The sequence below is a fragment of the Homo sapiens genome, chromosome 1 (genome assembly GCF_000001405.40).
Source record: "Homo sapiens chromosome 1, GRCh38.p14 Primary Assembly".
NCBI lineage: Eukaryota > Metazoa > Chordata > Mammalia > Primates > Hominidae > Homo > Homo sapiens.
Window position 1 is genome coordinate 150941133 of NC_000001.11, and position 20839 is coordinate 150961971.

At 44.7% G+C, this 20839-nt stretch overlaps 1 protein-coding gene across 21 annotated transcripts in view, besides 4 other annotated features; it reads left to right on the forward strand.

Moving 5' to 3' along the window:
• Positions 1–20839, forward strand: part of SETDB1 (SET domain bifurcated histone lysine methyltransferase 1) — a 38475-nt gene that overhangs the window by 14870 nt on the left and 2766 nt on the right. For 6 of the 21 annotated variants that reach the window (NM_001366417.1, NM_001393961.1, NM_001393958.1 and 3 more), the window contains exons 5-16: positions 197–296; positions 1431–1556; positions 1720–1921; positions 2788–2861; positions 3786–3976; positions 5754–5880; positions 7990–8146; positions 8235–8393; positions 9326–9958; positions 10233–10349; positions 18046–18215; positions 19431–20059. In NM_001366417.1, coding sequence (NP_001353346.1) covers positions 197–296; positions 1431–1556; positions 1720–1921; positions 2788–2861; positions 3786–3976; positions 5754–5880; positions 7990–8146; positions 8235–8393; positions 9326–9958; positions 10233–10349; positions 18046–18215; positions 19431–20059 — 2685 coding nt within the window. Of the gene's footprint in view, positions 1–196; positions 297–1430; positions 1557–1719; positions 1922–2787; positions 2862–3785; positions 4189–5753; positions 5881–7989; positions 8147–8234; positions 8394–9325; positions 9963–10232; positions 10350–18045; positions 18216–19430; positions 20060–20839 lie in introns of those variants that run through there. The other 15 variants (NM_001393960.1, XM_047435582.1, XM_047435579.1 and 12 more) reach the window with 6 other exon arrangements.
• Positions 2977–3121: an enhancer, noted in NCBI's record as "145 bp 1:150916657 sequence used in MPRA reporter constructs". NCBI's record gives its function as "activates a minimal TATA-containing promoter with rs2271076 allelic activity by MPRAs in UACC903 melanoma cells {active_cell/tissue: UACC903}" and the evidence as "EXISTENCE:reporter gene assay evidence [ECO:0000049][PMID:36423637]".
• Position 3049: a transcriptional cis regulatory region, noted in NCBI's record as "rs2271076 or 1:150916657 MPRA-significant variant associated with a GWAS melanoma risk locus at 1q21.3". NCBI's record gives its function as "allelic transcriptional activity by MPRAs in UACC903 melanoma cells {active_cell/tissue: UACC903}" and the evidence as "EXISTENCE:reporter gene assay evidence [ECO:0000049][PMID:36423637]".
• Positions 8832–8976: an enhancer, noted in NCBI's record as "145 bp 1:150922512 sequence used in MPRA reporter constructs". NCBI's record gives its function as "activates a minimal TATA-containing promoter with rs12059949 allelic activity by MPRAs in C283T melanocytes and UACC903 melanoma cells {active_cell/tissue: C283T | UACC903}" and the evidence as "EXISTENCE:reporter gene assay evidence [ECO:0000049][PMID:36423637]".
• Position 8904: a transcriptional cis regulatory region, noted in NCBI's record as "rs12059949 or 1:150922512 MPRA-significant variant associated with a GWAS melanoma risk locus at 1q21.3". NCBI's record gives its function as "allelic transcriptional activity by MPRAs in C283T melanocytes and UACC903 melanoma cells {active_cell/tissue: C283T | UACC903}" and the evidence as "EXISTENCE:reporter gene assay evidence [ECO:0000049][PMID:36423637]".

Here is a 20839-nt window from a genome sequence, read left to right on the forward strand (position 1 = left end):
AGCCTGGGCAACAATAGCTAAACTCCATATCAAAAAAAAAGAGTAAGGGCAGCTTTGCCAGATAAAGTAACCATAAGCTTCCAAACATAACTCACTCCATTTTGTTTTGTGAAATACAAGTTGTTTCTTATTCTGAAGTTATTTGTAACCCATGCTACTGTTTCAAAACTTGTTTTCCTCATCCCCTTTTCTACAGCTCCGTGAAGCTATGGCTGCCTTAAGAAAGTCAGCTCAAGATGTTCAGAAGTTCATGGATGCTGTCAACAAGAAGAGCAGTTCCCAGGATCTGCATAAAGGTTAGGGTCAAGAAATACCTGGGTACAGATGGGAGGTGAATTCTTACAGAGATTTTGTCTTAAGTCTTATGTCTGCTAATTGTTTGTGACATGCCAGACTCAGTATCCTTAGTAGTTATGAAATCCCAGTTACATTGATGGTGATTTTTCCAGTCTGTGATGGTTTTATCTCAATACCTCTTTAGCGTCCTACATTTAGGCTGTTTCCATCCTCATGACTGCTTCCAGGTGGAGATTAGGGAGAAGAGAATCACTCAGACTCTTGTTACAAAAAGGTTTGAGGCCAGGTGTGGTGGCTCATATCTGTAATTCTAGCAGCTTTGGGAGGCTGAGGCAGGAGGATCACTTGAGGCCCAGCATTAAAGACCAGCCTCGGCAACATAGTGAAACCCCATCTCTACAAAAAAAAATGTTTAAAAATTCTCCAGATGGGCCAGGCACGGTGGCTCACGCCTGTAATCCCAGCACTTTGGGAGGCCGAGGTGGGCGGATCACAAGGTCAGGAGTTCGACACCAGCCTGACCAACATGGTGAAACTCTGTCTCTATTAAAAATACAAAAATTAGCCAGGCGTGGTGGCGCACGCCTGTAATCTCAGCTACTCAGGAGCCCGAGGCAGGAGAATCGCTTGAACCCGGAAGGTGAAGGTTGCAGTGAGCCGAGATCATGCCACTGCACTCCAGCCTGGGCAACAGAACGAGACTCCATCTCAAAAAAAAAAAAAAAAATTGGCCGGGCACAGTGGCTCATGCCTATAATCCCAGCACTTTGGGAGACCGAGGCAGGCGGATCATGAGGTCAAAAGATAGAGACCATCCTGGCTAACATGGTGAAACCCCGTCTCTACTAAAAATATAAAAATTAGCTGGGTGTAGTGGTGCCACCTTGCGTGCCTGTAGTCCCAGCTACTCGGGAGGCTGAGGCAGGAGAATCGCTGGAACCCAGGGAGGCGGAGGTTCCAGTGAGCCAAGATCGCACCACTGCACTCCAGCCTGGTGACAGAGTGAGACTCCATCTCAAAAAAAAAAAAAAAATTACCCCACTTTCCCTAATTACCATACTACCCTCTTTACCTTCCCGTTCTCTACCGAATCTATGTCATAACTCTTGAGAATAACTTTGCTTCTTCTATAGGAACCTTGAGTCAGATGTCTGGAGAACTAAGCAAAGATGGTGACCTGATAGTCAGCATGCGAATTCTGGGCAAGAAGAGAACTAAGACTTGGCACAAAGGCACCCTTATTGCCATCCAGACAGTTGGTATGTGCAAACTTGGAGGAACCACTCCTGAAAGGCAACCTGCACCCTCCACTGCTGATTGTTTCTTTTCCCCATAACCTTCCCATTTGTCTCTCACATAGCAGCCTGGATTTATACAGAAACTGGCAGTGTTTAAAAAGATTTATCTTTCCCTTTTACTCAGGGCCAGGGAAGAAATACAAGGTGAAATTTGACAACAAAGGAAAGAGTCTACTGTCGGGGAACCATATTGCCTATGATTACCACCCTCCTGCTGACAAGCTGTATGTGGGCAGTCGGGTGGTCGCCAAATACAAAGATGGGAATCAGGTCTGGCTCTATGCTGGCATTGTAGCTGAGACACCAAACGTCAAAAACAAGCTCAGGTACCTGGACAGAGGACTGTAAAGGGGTAGAGGCTGGGAGCACAGCACCTGCCCTGTTCGTGCCATAGACCAGATACCACAATTAGCTTTTGTCTTCTTAGTCCCCAGTGGACTGAAACCCTTACTCTTTCTTTACCACAGGAGTCATGTGGGTGATTCTTTCTTCCTCTTTCTCCTCCTGTTTTTTTTCCTTTTCTTTCCTCAAAGAGAAAACTAGGAAGAGAATAATGAGGATTGATTAATGGTCAGGGGAATACAATTCACACAGAAGAAAGAAATGGAGACTAAATGGTTATTGGCAGCATAGGAATCTGATAGAGGAAAAAGAATATATGTTTTTTGGCCGGGCCCAGTGTCTCATCCCTGTAATCTTAGCACTTTGGGAGGCCAAGGCAAGTGAATCACCTGAGGTCAGGAGTTCGAGACCAGCTTGGCCAACTGGTGAAACCCTGTCTCTACTAAAAATACAAAAATTAGCTGGGTGTGGTGGCGCATGCCTGTAATCCCAGCTACTTGGGAGGCTGAGGCAGGAGAATTCCTTGAACCTGGGAGGCAGTGGTTGCCATGAGCCGAGATTGCACCACTGCACCCCAGCCTGGGCGACAGAAGGAGACTCCGTCTCAAAAATATTTATATGTATATGTGTTTTTTTAAAAGTAGGGAGGTATTGGTTAAATTAAGGGAGAACTCCTAACTCTCAAGTTGAGAAGAAAGAAAAACAGGAAGAAAGTAGTGGACTGGATTGTCTTCCCTGGAGTGCATCGTGTTGTGATCCAGAGAAGTAGAAGCTATGATAAAATAATTTCTGTGGATCATGTTAAATATCATAACCCCCAGATCTTTCTGCTGTCACTCTTCTTTTATAGGTTTCTCATTTTCTTTGATGATGGCTATGCTTCCTATGTCACACAGTCGGAACTGTATCCCATTTGCCGGCCACGTGAGTGTTTCTCCCTTATTCCTTAGCTCAGTTTTCTCCTCTACCTTGTATTTCTTCTTAGGACATCCAGTTGAAAAGCCCTAGTGTTTTTGGTATTTCAGTCTCAAAGAGCATAAGTTTGGTTGATGTCTTTTGCTCCCAAAGGTCAGTTTGCTCCCAAAAGAGATACAGTTTTATTGTTCATCTCCAGGACTGGGTCTTTGTAGACAAAGAGTGAGACACTAGAAGATCATGAATGGCCTTGAGTAGACTGCTCACGTTATAGATGTGCTTCAATTTCATTTCTAAGTGAGTTACGTTGGAAAAGGTGTTACTTCTTTCCTAGTGTCATACTGCACCTAACATTTGTATAAATGTGTAGTCTGCATAATGCTTTCCACAGAAGCTGTGTTAGATGGAACCTCATAGTGTCCACTATATTTGTTACCCTGGCTTGGGAGCAGACTCCTATGGAAACAATCATTTTTAACTGCAGAAGAATCAACTAACACTTTTGTTTACACATAACATGACAGTAAACACATTCTGAGTCTCTTAAAAACCTGATAGAGAATGAGAAGGAAGGACTAATTTTTTTCATTTCATGATGCCACCTGATCTTTTTAAATTTACCACTAGACTGATCAACAAGTGAGCAAGAATTTCCACTTGAATTTTCCAGAGGAGAAACATCCATTTGTGTAAAATAAGTGAATCACCTATATTGTACATTTCTTATTTAGTATTTACTTGATTTGTAAGTATGTACAGTTTGTACATTAGGTTTATTACTTAGGTGGTCTTGGCTTTGCTTCCCTTGAGGTTCTGATTTTACTTTTTCTCTCCTTTTCAACTTAAAAAGTATCAAATGTCTCCTGGCCAAGTCTTTTCCCTATCAAGACATGCCCTACCTGCCCTCTCAGTTCTACTTCTTCCTTGAAACAGTGAAAAAGACTTGGGAGGACATAGAAGACATCTCCTGCCGTGACTTCATAGAGGAGTATGTCACTGCCTACCCCAACCGCCCCATGGTACTGCTCAAGAGTGGCCAGCTTATCAAGACTGAGTGGGAAGGCACGTGGTGGAAGTCCCGAGTTGAGGAGGTGGATGGCAGCCTAGTCAGGATCCTCTTCCTGGTACTGTTCTTCTCTACAATTTTGGAGGCAGAGGTTGGTGGGGGGGGAACTTAAGAAGCAGTAATGAGGATGGTTTTATAGCTATTCCATAGCCTTCCTCTTTCTTATCCTCGTATGTGTTCTCACTGTTTTTGGTCAAATTTTACTTTGCCCTTTTTGTTGTTCCTCTGCAGGTCATTGTTGAAAATAAATTATCTGAATTATAATACGAATCTGCATGGTTTTGATTTATTTATTTTTTTTCTTTAGGAGTATTCACATTGTGTGTAGGTACAGAAAGGGCAGCCAATTCCATTTTTCCAGGGTTAAGGTTTTAGTAGGATAGTGGGACGAAGAAGAGGGATCAAGGAGTCCTGATTATCTTTCAAGGCTCAGTTTAACTCTTAGGTATTTTGTACTCATCCTTTTCTCCCTTCTCTCTCCCTTCTTAGAATCATATTTCTTATTTTTAAAAGTTTTAAAAACATTTTTTAATACTGCTGCTTGCAGAACAAGGCTACCTGATAGGCAGTGTGCCCAGAGTAGCCAGAAGAAATTAGAAGTTATATTTCTTCTTGGTGTTACCTCAGCCCGTTACTTCTAAGGCCTTATGATCCTTATCATGCTTTTTGTTTGGTGTTTTGTTTTGTTTTCAGACGGAGTTTCACTCTTGTTGCCCAGGCTAGAGTGCAATGGCACGATCTCGGCTCACTGCATCTTCCGCCTCCTGGGTTCAAGTGATTCTCCTGCCTCAGCCTCTCGGGTAGCTGGGACTGGCTAATTTTTTGTATTTTTAGTAGAGACGGGGTTTCACCATGTTGGCAGGCTGGTCCCGAACTCCTGACCTCAAGTGATCCACCTGCCTTGTCCTCCCAAAGTGCTGGGATTACAGGCGTGAGCCACCACGCCTGGCCTGTTTTGTTTTGTTTTGTTTTGTTTTGTTTTGTTTTTTGAGACAGTCTCACTCTGCCACCCAGGCTGGAGTGCAGTGGTGCAATCACAGCTCACTGCAGCCTCAACCTCCAGGGTTCAAGTGGTCCTCCCACATCAGCCTCCCAAGTAGCTGTGACTACAAGTGCATGCCACCACACCTGGCTGATTTTTGTATTTTTAGTAGAGACGGGTTTCGCCATGTTGCCCAGGCTGGTCTCGAACTCCTGAGCTCAAGCAGTCTGTCTGCCTCATCCTTTCGACATACCAGGATTATAGGTGTGAGCTATTGTGCCCAGCTGTCATACCTCTTATACTCAGTATAGATATCTGTTGCTCCTGTAATTCCTTAAACAAGGAGTATATATTTTTCATTGTTGTGTTCCTGATACCCATCATGGATCCTGGCACATACTTTATTAAGTAGATAAGGAATTTTTTTTTGGGGGGGATGGAGTTTCGCTCCTGTTGCCCAGGCTGGAGTACGATGGTGCAGTCTCGGCTCACCACAACCTCCGCCTCCCTGGTTCAAGCAATTCTCCTGCCTCAGCCTCCCGAGTAACTGGGATTACAGGCATGCGCCACCACACCCGGCTAATTTTGTATTTTTAGTAGAGACGGGGTTTCTCCATGTTGGTCAGGCTGGTCTTGAACTCCCAACCTCGGGTGATCCACCTGCCTCAGCCTCCCAAAGTGCTGGGATTACAAGCTACAGGCGTGAGCCACTGTGCTTAGCTTAGACTAAGGAATTTAAGGCTCATCAGGGAGGATTCCCAGAGGTGACACATGGTATATATCCTCTACACAGGACAGGATAGATTCTAGCCTTTAAGCTATTTCCCTTCATTCTTTTCTCTCAATTCCCCAGGATGACAAAAGATGTGAGTGGATCTATCGAGGCTCTACACGGCTGGAGCCCATGTTCAGCATGAAAACATCCTCAGCCTCTGCACTGGAGAAGAAGCAAGGACAGCTCAGGACACGTCCAAATATGGGTATGTCCTGAAAGATTCCTGGAGGAAGGAAGAAACAGGCCAACCAGCAAAGGAGATTATATACAATGGCTATCCTTTGATTAGCATGGTTACACTGTATACTCATTGGAAACAGGATATGTGCCCTGAGTTGTTTCCAATCATGGTGATCAATTTGTGCTGCTGCTTCCACATGCTGTGGCTCTAATTTGTTCTAAACAACCACATAAAAATCTGAAACAGTTGGCTTTAGGTTAGGGTGATAGTAGTTACCCTCTGTTATCCACATGAGAATTGTCAGTTTTGTGTGTTATCTATGGTTAGTTTTTTCTTTTTCTTTTTTTTTTAAATAGACCCGGGGCTTGATATGTTACCCAGGCTGGTCTTGAACTCCTGGGCTCAAGCTGTCTACCTGCCTCGGCTGCCCAAAGTGCTAGGATTACAAGTATGAGCTACCACATCCAGCGTATAGTCAGTTTTCTTTAAAACCCAGACCTGGCCAGGCACAGTGGCTGACATCTATAATCCCAACACTTTAGGAAGCTGAGACAGGTAGGTGGTTTGCTTGAGCTGAGGAATTCAAGACCAGCCTGGGCAACATGGTGAAACCCTGTTTCTACAAAAAAACACAAAAATTAGCTGGGTACAGTGGCATTAAGCTGTAGTCCAGGCTACTCAAGAAGTTGAGGTGGGAGGATCAATTGAAGCCAGGAGGTCGAGGTTGCAGTGAGCTAGATCGTGCCACTGCACTCCAGCCTGGGTGACAGAACGAGACCCTGTCTCAGAAACAAACAAAAAACAGATTTGGTTTTCTTTTTTAATATTACTGTCATACTTTCTGGTTGATTTTTCCTGCCAAAATTAGTTGGTTAAAGAATATATTTCTGAAAATATTTCCCCAAAGTATAACATAATTAGGTAAATCATCTGAGATAGGAAGATATAAAGTCTTATCTAAGGCCCAGCATGGTGGCTCGTGTCTGTAGTCTCAGCACTTTGGGAGGCTGAGGTGGGAGTATCACTTGAGGCCAGGAGTTGGAGATCAGTCTGGGCAACATAGAAAGACTCTTATCTCTTAAAAAAAAAAAATGCTGAGTGTGGTGGTGTGCACCTGTAGCCTTAGCTACTCTGGAGGCTGAGGCAGGAGGATTGCTTGAAGCCCAGGATTTCAAGGTTACAATGAGCTAAGGTCACACCGCTGCACTTCAGCCTGAGTAACAAAGTGGAACACTGTCTATAAAAAGAAAAAAAAGAGGCTACTCTGCCGACAGAGTAGCAATTTTTTTTTTTTTTTTTTGAGATGGAGTCTGGTTCTTTTGCCCAGGCTGGAGTGCAGTGGCACCATCTCAGCTCACTGCAACCTCCGCCTCCCGGGTTCCAGCAATTCTCCTGCCTCAGCCTTCCGAGTAACTGGGGTTACAGGCGACTGCTACCATGCCAGGCTAATTTTTGTATTGTTAGTAGAGACGGGATTTCTCCATGTTGGCCAGGCTGGTCTTGAACTCCTGACCTCAGGTGATCTGCCCGCCTCAGCCTCCCAAAGTGCTGGGATTAAAGGCATGAGCCACCGCGCCTGGCCGTTATTCTTTTATTCCTTTACTTTGTGAATAAACTTGCTTTCACTTTAATAAAAGAAAAAGTATTATCTAAGTCAAAAAACAATGTATGCCAGCGTCCATGCCAGTCAATAATGGGAACTGAGAGTCTAAGCACTTACTCAAAATGTGTCCATTGCTGCTTTTTTTTTTTGAGACGAAGTCTTGTTCTGTTGCCCAGGCTGGAGTACAGTGATGTGATCTCGGCTCACTGCAACCTCCACCTCCTGGTTTCAAGTGATTGTCCTGCGCCTTCCGAGCAGCTGGAATTACAGATGTGCACCACCATGCCCATCTAATTTTTGTATTTTTAGTAGAGACGGGGTTTCACCATGTTGGCCAGGCTGGTCTCAAACTCATGACCTCAAGCAACCTGCCCACTTCGGCCTCCCAAACTGCTGGGATTACAGGCAAGAGCCACTGCGCCCAGCCATTGCTTCCTTTTTATATTGTATAAGTTAAGGATCAGATGTGTGACTGAATACAAGCGTCATAGCTATCATCTTCTCAGTGCTCAATTTCCTTTTTCCTATAGGTGCTGTGAGGAGCAAAGGCCCTGTTGTCCAGTACACACAGGATCTGACCGGTACTGGAACCCAGTTCAAGCCAGTGGAACCCCCACAGCCTACAGCTCCACCTGCCCCACCTTTCCCACCTGCTCCACCTCTATCCCCCCAAGCAGGTGACAGTGAGTGAGTGTTATTCTTTCTTTTTCTTCAGTTTCTTTCATATTATATTTTCCACATCCCTTACTATATGCCCTCTTCTCTAATCTCCTAGAAGCTTGGAAAGCCAGCTTGCCCAGTCACGGAAGCAGGTAGCCAAAAAGAGCACGTCCTTTCGACCAGGATCTGTGGGCTCTGGTCATTCCTCCCCTACATCTCCTGCACTCAGTGAAAATGTCTCTGGTGGGAAACCTGGGATCAACCAGACATATAGGTGAGAAAATCTGAGGCTCTCTGTAGGCAGGATAGCAATGAGTGGTCACTGTGTAGGGGAAGGTTCCTTGGCTGTAAGCGAAGGGCTTAGTTTAAGCTTATGATAGTGAGGAGTTTGGACTTGAAAAGGAAGCTTTACCCATAGAAGTTCCTAAGAAATAGAAAGTAAGAATAATTGAATTGGAAGCTGGGTGCTTGGAAATATGGTATCATCTGAAAGCCATTTGTTAAAACTTCTTGTTGAACATGGTGCCATCATTGCTAAAATAGAAAGGAAACACCACAGCCTCTTTCCTTGGAGTTAGTAAGGACATTTTTAGAACACGCAGCAGACCAAAAAAACATTGGTAGAAGACTGGATTCTACTTCCATAATTCACAGGCAAATACATTTTAGGAAAAGGTATACTGTTGAAATAGAGATGTTAGGCCGGGCGCGGTGGCTCATGCCTGTAATCCCAGCACTTTGGGAGGCCGAGGCGGGTGGATCACCTGAGGTCGGGAGTTCGAGACCAGCCTGGCCAACATGGAGAAACCCTGTCTCTACTAAAAAATACAAAATTAGCCAGGCGTGGTGGCGCATGCCTGTAATCCCAGCTACTCAGGACGCTGAGGCAGGAGAATCGCTTGAACCCAGGAGGCAGAGGTTGTGGTGAGCCAAGATCGTGCCATTGTACTCCAGCCTAGGCAAAAAGAGCGAAACTTGTCTCAAAAAAAAAAAGAGAAATAGAGATGTTATCAGTCAGTGAAGAGTAACCAGGGAGTTTCATTGTCCAGGTTTGGTAGGGCAAGGGAAGATCTTTCTTGAATCATCTTTAGCTTCAGGAGCACAGCTGTTTGAAAGATGAGAGAAATGGCTTAGCTACCTGGAGGGTTAATTATAAAACAGAGGTCCTGTTGCCTTCCGATCTGATCACTTGCATCTCATTTGCAGATCACCTTTAGGCTCCACAGCCTCTGCCCCAGCACCCTCAGCACTCCCGGCCCCTCCAGCACCCCCAGTCTTCCATGGCATGCTGGAGCGGGCCCCAGCAGAGCCCTCCTACCGTGCTCCCATGGAGAAGCTTTTCTACTTACCTCATGTCTGCAGCTATACCTGTCTGTCTCGAGTCAGACCTATGAGGAATGAGCAGTACCGGGGCAAGAACCCTCTGCTGGTCCCGTTACTATATGACTTCCGGCGGATGACAGCCCGGCGTCGAGTTAACCGCAAGATGGGCTTTCATGTTATCTATAAGACACCTTGTGGTCTCTGCCTTCGGACAATGCAGGAGATAGAACGCTACCTTTTCGAGACTGGCTGTGACTTCCTCTTCCTGGAGATGTTCTGTTTGGATCCATATGTTCTTGTGGACCGAAAGTTTCAGCCCTATAAGCCTTTTTACTATATTTTGGACATCACTTATGGGAAGGAAGATGTTCCCCTATCCTGTGTCAATGAGATTGACACAACCCCTCCACCCCAGGTGGCCTACAGCAAGGAACGTATCCCGGGCAAGGGTGTTTTCATTAACACAGGCCCTGAATTTCTGGTTGGCTGTGACTGCAAGGATGGGTGTCGGGACAAGTGAGTTGGTGGGGGGAATTGCTGCCCCTGCTTCCAACTTTGTTATGGTGTCTGTTTCACCTCTTCCTTTGCCTTGTATCTGTACTGCTTTCCCCATCTTCCTTTACCTCCTCCCTCACCTGGAACTCCTGCTATAAGGCCTCCATGAAAGCTATGAGGTAGGGAGGCTGGAGTCTGACATGGCCACACTGAGCAACCTTGGGTACATGTGTATTGTGTTATTTTTGTTCTCTGATCCCCCCGCTCCTTTCCTTTATTTCCCTCTGTCATATAGGTCCAAGTGTGCCTGCCATCAACTAACTATCCAGGCTACAGCCTGTACCCCAGGAGGCCAAATCAACCCTAACTCTGGCTACCAGTACAAGAGACTAGAAGAGTGTCTACCCACAGGGTAAGTGGTCAAGGAATGGCACAGTACCTCAGAGAGACTGAGGAGCATGTTCTTGTTTTTCTGTGCTTATAGAAATCATCAGAAATCTAAAAATTGGAACCAAAAATAGAATACCAGATGAGGCATTTTATTAATTAGATCTTATTTCATGACTTCCAAAACACATTTTTTTTCTTGGACCTTCCTTGAAATGAAGACATAGAATGATTGAATAGTATCTAGCAATTTTCTGTTGCAAAAAAAGATTATCTTAATTTCATAGCTAAATGAATGTCTTAACAGATTGTGATTTACACTTGTAAGTGAAATGTGTTCAGAGAGGAGAAGTAGGCAGGGACCTGATTACATAGGGCTTTGTAAATCAGAATGAAAAAAGTTAGAATCAGGCTGGCACAGTGGCTCACACCTGTAATCCCAGCACTTTCGGAGGCCAAGGTGGGTGGATCACCTGAGGTCAGGAGTTTGAGACCAGCCTGGCCAACCTGGTGAAACCCTGTCTCTACTAAAAATACAAAAATTAGCCGGGGGTGGTGGCGGGTGCCTGCAGTCCCAACTACTTGGGAGGCTGAGGCAGGAGAATCGCTTGAATCCAGGAGGCAGAGGTTGCAGTGAGCCAAGATCATGCCACTGCACTTCAGCCTGGGTGACAAGAGCGAGACTCTGCCTTAAAAAAAAAAAAAGAAAAGTTAGAATCAAATTCATGGTGCTCTTACAGGATTTTAAGCTGCCAAGTGATGTGACCTGCCTTTTTCAGATTACTCTGGCTTCTTTGTAGATCATAGGTCTTAGGATGGCAAAAGTAGATTTTGGAAGACCAATTAGGAGATCGTTATAGGAGTACAGCAGAGAGAGACATTGTTGCAGCTATGACTTGCAATAGAATGGAGGTGATAGTAGAGGTAAGAAGGATAGATTTGGGCTGTATTAATAGGTAGAGCTACAGAATTGGATAGATTATGGAGTGGGGGGAAAGAGTAGAATCAAGGACAATTCCTAAATTTTTGGCTTGAGCATCTTAGTGGTTGTTGGTGCTTTTTACTGAGATGGAAGACCGAAGGAGTAGTAGGTTTGAGTGAAATTCAGTTTTTGTTTTGGCCATGTTAAGTTTGAAATGCCGCCGGGCGCAGTGGCTCACGCCTGTAATCCCAGCACTTTGGGAGGCTGAGGCGGGCGGATCACCTGAGGTCGGGAGTTCAAGACCAGCCTTGACCAACATGGAGAAATCCCGTCTCTACTAAAAATACAAAAAAAAAAAATTAGCCGGGCATGGTGGCGCATGCCTGTAATCTCAGCTACTCGGGAGGCTGAGGCAGGAGAATTGCTTGAATCTGGGAGGCGGAGGTTGTGGTGAGCTAAGATCGCACCATTGCACTCCAGCCTGGGCAACAAGAGCGAAACTCAGTCTCAGAAAACAAAACAAAACAAAAAGTTTGAAATGCCTGTCAGGCAATCCAAGTAGAAATGTCAAGAAGACACTGGGATTTCTGGAGAGAGTGGGATATAAAAATTTAGGAATCATCAGCACAGGAGTATTTAAAGCCTGAATAAGTTCACCTAGAGACAATGTTGATAATAGAGAAGGCGGCTCAGGAGTAAGCCCTGGGTGCCCCAACATTTAAAGGTTGAGCAGAGGAGGTGGAACCAGCATGAGGTTGAGGACAGCTACTGAGGAGGGTGAGGCCGAAAGATTACTTGAGGCCTGGAGTTTGAGACCAGACTGGGCAACATAGTAAGACCCTGTGTCTAAAAAAAAATTGTTGGGGCTGGGCGTGGTGGCTCACGCCTGTAATCCCAGCACTTTTCGAGGCTGAGGCAGGCAGATCACTTGAGGTCAGGAGTTCAAGACCAGCCTGGCCAATATGGTGAAACCCCATCTCTACTAAAAATACAAAAAACTTGCCAGGGATGGTGGCGAGCACCTGTAATCCCAGCTACTTGGGAGGCTGAGACAGGAGAATCACTTGGACCCAGGAGGTGGAGGTTGCAGTGAGCCAAGACCGCACCATTGCACTCCAGCCTGGGCAAGAAAAGCAAAATTCTATCTCAAAAAAAAAAAAAAATTGTTGGCCATGCGCGGTGGCTCATGCCTGTAATCCCAACACTTTGGGAGGCCAAGGTGGGTGGATCACCTGAGGTCAGGAGTTCAAGAACAGCCTGGCCAACATGGTGAAACCCCATCTGTAATAAAAATACAAAAATTAGCCAGGCGTGATTGTGCACGCCTGTAATCTCAGCTATTTGGGAGGCTGAGGCAAGAGAATCGCTTGAAGCTGGGAGGCAGAGATTACAGTAAGCTGAGATTGCACCACTGCACTCCAGTCTGGACAACACAACAAGACTCCGTCTCAAAAAAAATGATTTAAAAATTAAAAAAAAAATTTTTTTTTTTTTTAGATGGAGTCTTGCTCTGTCGCCCAGGCTGGAGTGCAGTGGCGTGATCTCAGCTCACTGCAAGCTCCGCCTTCCGGGTTCACGCCATTCTCCTGCCTCAGCCTCCCGAGAAGCTGGGACTACAGTCGCCCACCACCACGCCTGACTACTTTTTTGTATTTTTAGTAGAGACAGGGTTTCACCATGTTAGCCAGGATGGTCTCTATCTCCTGACCTCATGATCCGTCTGCCTCAGCCTCCCAAAGTGCTGGGATTACAGGCGTGAGCCACCGCGCCCAGCCTAAATTATTTTTTAAAAAATTAGCCGGGCATGGTAGATGCATGCCTGTAGTCCCAGCTACTTGAGAGGCAGAGGCAGAAAGATCACTTGAGCCCAGTAGTTCAAGGCTGCAGTGAGCTATGATCACACCACTACACTCTAGCCTGGGGTGACAGAGCATGACTCTTATCTCTAAAACAAGAGGAGGACAACAAAAGAGTGGGGTATAGCATGGTAAACTGGTATATATAAACACGTGAACTAATAAACCTAGTGATCAGAATACATAATTAACAGAACAGAGGAGAAAAGCATCAGTGAAATAATTCAGAAAGTGTCCCATAATTGAAGGATCTTTGTTTCTGAATTGAAAGGGCCAGTTAGGTCCCAACATAATGAAGGATAAAGGTAGGTTCCCATTAAGAGACATTATCATAAAATGTCAGAACACTGAGGGAAAAAAAAATCCTAAAAGCTTCTAGAGAAGAGAAATAGAACACGTTAAAAAATAGACTTGAAATGACTTCAGCCTTCCCTGAAAGTAGCACTAGAAGCTAGATAGCAATTGGAGAATCTGTTCAGAATTCTAAGGGAAAATTATTTCCAACCTGGAATTTTAAACTCGGGCAAACTATCAATTTGGTGTTACAGTAGGCTAAATACATTTTTTTAGACATGCAGTACCTCAGAGTTTTTCATCATTCCCCTTCTCAGAAAGTTTCTGGAAATATTTGCAAAAATGAGAGGGAAAGGCAGGAAAGGGGAAGACAGGTGACAGTGCAGTGAAAGAGGCTTCCAGGCTGACAGCTGTGTACTAGGCATAGAGAAGAGCCACTGCAGGAGCAGGTCAGATGCTGTAGGAGCGACTTCTTCAGGAAAATTGGTTTAACAGAAAACCTGAGGTGCCTGAATACATTCAGAGGAGATCGAGACTACTGGGGAGATCATAGGATGAATTTGTACTGATAACATTGAAAAACTAAACAAAGGAATAGACAGTTGTTTAGTTGCATTGCTGTATCATGTATGTTTTAATTATTAACAAAATTTTGAATCTAACAATAGCGTTTAGATTTGATAATGCTGGGTGGTACATGAGTGTTCATATCTTTTTTACACGTTTGAAATGTTTCATAAAAATATTTTCAAATAATCACAAATAATATATCACTCCCCTGCTTAACTCTATAATATAGTCCCTCTGCTGTTTGGATTTTATTCTGACTCTTAACCTTAGGTTATATATTTGGCCCTTTCCTGTCTCCCTCCAAAGTCATTCCAACCACACTGATATTTTTCAGTTCCTGGATCCAGTTCAACCAGTGTTTTCCAGCCTGCCTCTGGAGACTTGCACATGCTGTGCCTTCTTCTTGGCATCCTTCCACTTTTCTTTGTGTGGCTATCTTCTTTAACCTTGAGCTTTCAGCTGTAAAGTCACCTCCTCAGAGAGACCTTCCCTGACCACTTTAAAACTAGGTCATTTTACTCCCTTAATTCTCTCATTGAGCACCATGTTTGTGTTCTTTATAGCATTTATGACAACTTTTGTTGACTTGTTTTTCTTTTTTTCTATTATATAAGCTCCTTCATGAGGGCAAGGATCTTATCTGTCTCTTTGTCTTGCTAACCATTGTATCACCAGTTTACCCAATGCCTGGCACATAGTAATCACTTAGGCCAGGTGCAGTGGCTGATGCCTGTAATCCCAGCACTTTGGGAGGCCAAGGCGGGCAGATCACTTGAGGTCAGGAGTTCGAGACCAGCCTAGCCAACATGGTGAAACCCTGTCTCTACTAATAAAGTATAAAAAATTAGCCAGGCGTGGTGGCACATGCCTGTAGTGCTAGCTACTCAGGAGGCTGAGATGGGAGAATTGGTTGAACCCAGGAGGCAGAGGTTGCAGTGAGCCGAGATTGCACCATTGCACTCCAGCCTGGGCGACAGAAGGAGACTTCGTCTCAAAAAAAAAAAAAAAGCCAAGCGCAGTGGCTCACGCCTGTAATCCCAGCACTTTGGGAGGCCGAGACAGGTGGATTACGAGGTCAGGAATTCAAGATCAGCCTGGCCAAGATGTTGAAACCCCGTCTCTACTAAAAATACAAAAATTAGCCATGTGCGGTGGCAGGCGCCTGTAATCCCAGCTACTCCAGAGGCTGAGGCAGGAGAATCACTTGAACCCGCGAGGTGGAGGTTGCAGTGAGCCAAGATCCCACCACTGCACTCCGGCCTAGGCAATAGAGTGAGACTCCGCCTCAAAAAAAAAAAAAAAAGTAACCACTTAAATTTTGTGGAATGAATGAATGATAGTATAGCTACTGTAAAGGTTTCATGTGGTAATAATGACACCTGAGTTCAAATTCCAGCCCTGCCCCTACTGAGCTGATCTTTTTTGATCAGCTGTAAACAGAGGATATTAACATAAACACCCCCATGTCCCCAGTGGGGTTTTAAGGGACCTAACAAAGTTGTTTCTTGATCTGGTGCAGGTTACATGGTATGCTGAGTTTGTAAAATTCATTGATCTGTATAGACTTACGTGTACTTTCCTCTGTGTATATTACGTTTCAATAATCTTTTATTTCCCCCTACCCACTAGACCACCAGGGAAATAATCTCTTTTTTTTTTTTGCTATGGAGTCTTGCTCCCAAAGTGCTGGGATTACCGACATGGGAAATAATCTTTTTTAAAGTTAGAAAAAAAAGCTAGACATGGTGGCTCACACCTGTAATCCCAGCACTTTGGGAGGCCGTGGTGGGGGGATGGCTTGAGTTCAGTAGTTCCAGACTTGCCTGGGCAATGTGATGAGACCTTGTCTCTACAAAAAAAGTTTTAAAAATTAGCTGGGCATGTGGCATGCAGCTGTGGTCCCAGCTACTTAGGAGACTGAGGCAGGAGGATCACTTGAGCCCAGGAGGTCAAGGCTGCAGTGAGCTGTGTTTGTGCCGCTGCACTATGGTCTGGGTGACAGAGCAAGACCATGACTCAAAAAAAAAAAAAATGGGAGGTCGAAGCAGGTGGATCACCTGAGGTCAGGAGTTCAAGACCAGCCTGGCCAACATGGTAAAACCCTGTCTCCAATACAAAAATTAGCAGGGTATGATGGCATGCACCTATAATCCCAGCTACTTGGGAGGCTGAGGCAGGAGAATCGCTTGAACCCAGGAAGCGGAGGTTGGGCGACAAAGCGAGACTGTGTCTCAAAAAGAAAAAACACCACCTGTATTAGGGCAGCTTTAAGGATAGAATATGTATATATAAGGCATTCACACAATGCCAAACACAAAAGTATATGCTTAGTAACTAGAAGCTGCTCTTACCATCTTTATCTGGAGAGAGGATATGACTAAAATCGTGAACTAACTGAGCTGTTGATACATTTCCAAAGTAAATTTCTTCCATTGATTTTACATACCAAGAAAATAAGTAAAATTCTAACACTGGGCAAATAGAGCAAAAACATTGTTACCTGAAACAATTAGTTTTCTTAGTATAACTGTGTTATCTTCCTTTAATGTTGGTATGTGCTAGATCCCTCTGATTACCTTTAATGGTTGTTTAAAAATAATTAAAATTTTTTTCTTTTTCAGAGATGGGGTGGACTTGCTTTGTCATTCAGGCTGGAGCGCAGTGGTATGATCATAGCTCACTGAAACCTCGAACTCCTGAGCTCAAGTGATCTTCTCACCTCAGCATCCTCAGTAGCTGGGATTACAGGCATGAGCCACTGCGCCTGGCCCAAATTCTTAAATTAGATAGAATATGAGCTCCCCTGGGCTGGGCACGGTGGCTCACACCTGTACTCCCAGCCCTTTGGTTCGCTAAGGCAGGCGGATCACATGAGGTCGGGAATTCGAGACCAGCCTGATCAACATGGATAAACTCCATCTCTACTAAAAATACAAAATTAGCAAGGCACGGTGGCGCGTGCCTGTAATCTCAGCTACTTGGGAGGCTGAGGCAGGAGAATCACTTGAACACGGGAGGTGGAGGTTGTGAGCTGAGATTGCGCCATTGCACTCCAGCCTGGGCAATGAGAGCGAAACTCTGTCTCCAAAAAAAAAAAAAAGAGCTCCCTGAGGGTAGAAATTATGACCTTTTTTTTTTTCTTTTTTTTCTTTTTTCTTTTTTTTTTTTTTTGTGACAGAGTCTCACCCTGTCGCCCAGATTGGAGTGCAGTGGCTTGATTTTGGCTCACTGCAACCTCCGCCTCCTGGGTTCAAGGAATTCTCCTACCTCAGCCTCCCAAGTAGCTGGGACTACAGATGCATGCCACCACACCCGGCTAATTTTTTAATTTTTATTAGAGACGGGGTTTTACTGTGTTAGCCAGGATGGTCTCACTCTCCTGACCTCGTGATCCACCCACCTTGGCCTCCCAAAGTGCTGGGATTATAGGCATGAGCCACCACGCCCAGCACGATCTTTTTCATTGTTATGTTTCCAGTGTTTAGTAGAGCTCTTGGTGTTTAATAATTGTTTACTGAATGAAAGAATGAAAATCAACTTTACCATGAACATTAGTCACAGTTCCTCCTATCTCTTTATTCCCTTTCGTATCTGTTATGTTGGCCTCTGTTTTTCTCACATTTATTTATTTTTATTATTATTATTATTTTTGCTGTTGTTAGTAAGAAACCTCACCAGGAATTTCTCACATGTCTTTATTTTGTGCATCTATTTCTACAAATTGACCGTCCATATAGTGCTTATTTTAATGGCTCTGTAATCTGTATTCCCATTATAGTTTACTTAGCTTTTCTCCAGGTGTTAGGCACTCTAGCATTCACTTTTATGAGCTGTCTTGCTATAGACATCTTTATAAATATTTCTCCGCCCTCTAAATTTTTTCCTTGGGCTACATTTCCAAATGAATCAAAGAGCATAGATGGTTCAATAGATCCACTCACTTAGATCATTACCTAATTTTTAATCTTTATCCACAACACATTATAAATGATGATAGCTTAAGAATTATAATAGTTTTATGGATTTTTTTGTGCTCTAGTGATCATACCGTGATTGATTTTATTCTAACCTCCTCCCAGGGTATATGAGTGTAACAAACGCTGCAAATGTGACCCAAACATGTGCACAAACCGGTTGGTGCAACATGGACTACAAGTTCGGCTACAGCTATTCAAGACACAGAACAAGGGCTGGGGTATCCGCTGCTTGGATGACATTGCCAAAGGCTCTTTTGTTTGTATTTATGCAGGTTGGTGATAAAATATAAGGGTTGTTTCCTGAGACTGGGACATGGTAGGGAATTGAACCAGAGACAAATTGAACATAAGAAGAAAGTGCTTGACATGTGAACTGGAGTAAGAGGAGGCCAGGGACTTCTACAAAGAACGTGATGAGTGATGTACCTGTCTAGCTAGACCAGAGAGGGACACAAGTGTTTCACAAATAAGAGAATGAAAAGGGATGAAATTTTGGACATGGTGATATTTCAGAGAACAGACATGATTATAGAGTCCAGTGTATCATTTTCTCCCATGTCACTCCACTCAGAGATCTTTTAGCATAGCCCAGTACTCTGTTTCAATAAAGTAGAAGAAATGGAAAGACAGAAAGGGCAAGATTTAAAATGACAGTAAGTTCTCCATACTTTCATAGTTAAGATACAAAGGGAGGTATTATCAAAGAGAAACACTGGGCCGGCGTGGTGGCTCATGCCTGTAATCCCAAAACTTTGGGAGGCCGAAGTGGGTGGATCACCTGAGGTCAGGAGTTGGAGACCAGCCTGGCCAACATAGTTGAAACCCCATCTCTACTAAAAATACAAAAATTAGCCAGGTGTGGTGGTGGATGCCTGTAATCCCAGCTACTTGGGAGGCTGAGGCAGGAGAATCACTTGAACCCTTGAGGCAGAGATTGCAGTGAGCCGAGATCATGCCACTGCACTCCAGCCTGGGTGACAAAAGCGAAACTCTGTCTCAAAAACAAAACAAAAAAAAAAACAGAAATGAGAGACCAGAATGGAGGCTTTTTGACTCTATATGCTGGTAGAGCGGGTATTGATGGAATAATCCTTATTCTTTCTAATAGGTCCCCGTGGCCGGGTGCGGTGGCTAACACCTGTAATCCCAACACTGTGGGAGGCTGAGGCGGGCAGATCACCTGAGGTCAGGAGTTCGAGACCAACCTGGCCAACATGGTGAAACGCCATCTCTACCAAAAATACAAAAAAAATTAGCCAGGCATGGTGGCGTGCACCTGTAGTCCTATCTACTCAGGAGGCTAAGGCAGGAGAATCACTTGAACCTGGGAGGCAGAGGTTGCAGTGAGCCGAGATCGCGCCACTGCACTCCAGCCTGGGTGACAGAGCAAGACTCCATCTGGAAAAAAAAAAAAAAAAAAGCAAACAAAAAAAAAAACTAATAGGTCCCCATAACCCTAGAAGGCCTTTAATTCTCTTCATTCTCAGGCAAAATCCTGACAGATGACTTTGCAGACAAGGAGGGTCTGGAAATGGGTGATGAGTACTTTGCAAATCTGGACCATATCGAGAGCGTGGAGAACTTCAAAGAAGGATATGAGAGTGATGCCCCCTGTTCCTCTGACAGCAGTGGTGTAGACTTGAAGGACCAGGAAGATGGCAACAGCGGTACAGAGGACCCTGAAGAGTCCAATGATGATAGCTCAGATGATAACTTCTGTAAGGATGAGGACTTCAGCACCAGTTCAGTGTGGCGGAGCTATGCTACCCGGAGGCAGACCCGGGGCCAGAAAGAGAACGGACTCTCTGAGACAACTTCCAAGGACTCCCACCCCCCAGATCTTGGACCCCCACATATTCCTGTTCCTCCCTCAATCCCTGTAGGTGGCTGCAATCCACCTTCCTCCGAAGAGACACCCAAGAACAAGGTGGCCTCATGGTTGAGCTGCAATAGTGTCAGTGAAGGTGGTTTTGCTGACTCTGATAGCCATTCATCCTTCAAGACTAATGAAGGTGGGGAGGGCCGGGCTGGGGGAAGCCGAATGGAGGCTGAGAAGGCCTCCACCTCAGGACTAGGCATCAAGGATGAGGGAGACATCAAACAGGCCAAGAAAGAGGTAAGCAGTGGCAGAACACTCTGAGAGCTATGGCTTTAACTTTGGTGCAGTAACAATGCAGTCTCACCATGAGTCTTTGCATGTAGATTATTCTACTTGATGGATATTTCTGTGGCCACCTCGTTATCTCTCCCCCTAACTAGCACATTCCTAGTGTTTGTTTAAAGAACCAAATTATTGACCGGGCACAGTGGCTCACACCTGTAATCCCAACACTTTGGGAGGCCGAGGCAGGTGGATAACTTGAAGTTCAGGAGTTGGAGACCATCCTGGCCAACATGGTGAAACCCCGTCTCTACTAAAAAATACAAAAATTAGCCGGGCGTGGTGGTGCATGCCTGTATTTCCAGCTACTTGGGAGGCTGAGGCAGGAGAATCGCTTGAACCTGGAGGGTGGAGGTGCAGTGAGCCGAGATCGCACCACTGCACTCCAGCCTGGGTGACAGAACGAGACTCTGTCTCAAAAAAAAAAAAATTATTTTAAAATCCACTTGCCTGGTGGTAGAGGGTGGACAAGTATCTGATTAATTACAAAATGAAAGATTTATAAGTGATTTTTTAATGTTAAATGCTGTTTCAAGTTATTCACATCATTGTTTCCTTCTACTAAAGTAGAGAAACAAGAATTGATTTTAAGTATCTCTTTGATGATTATGCTGCTTTCCACATTACAGATGGTGAAACTGTCCCTGGTTGATGTAATCCTGCTCGTGGTGTTTTCCATGAGCATTAAGCCCCATCACTGAGAAGGCTTAAAGGCTCCAGCCAGGGAGTGTAGTG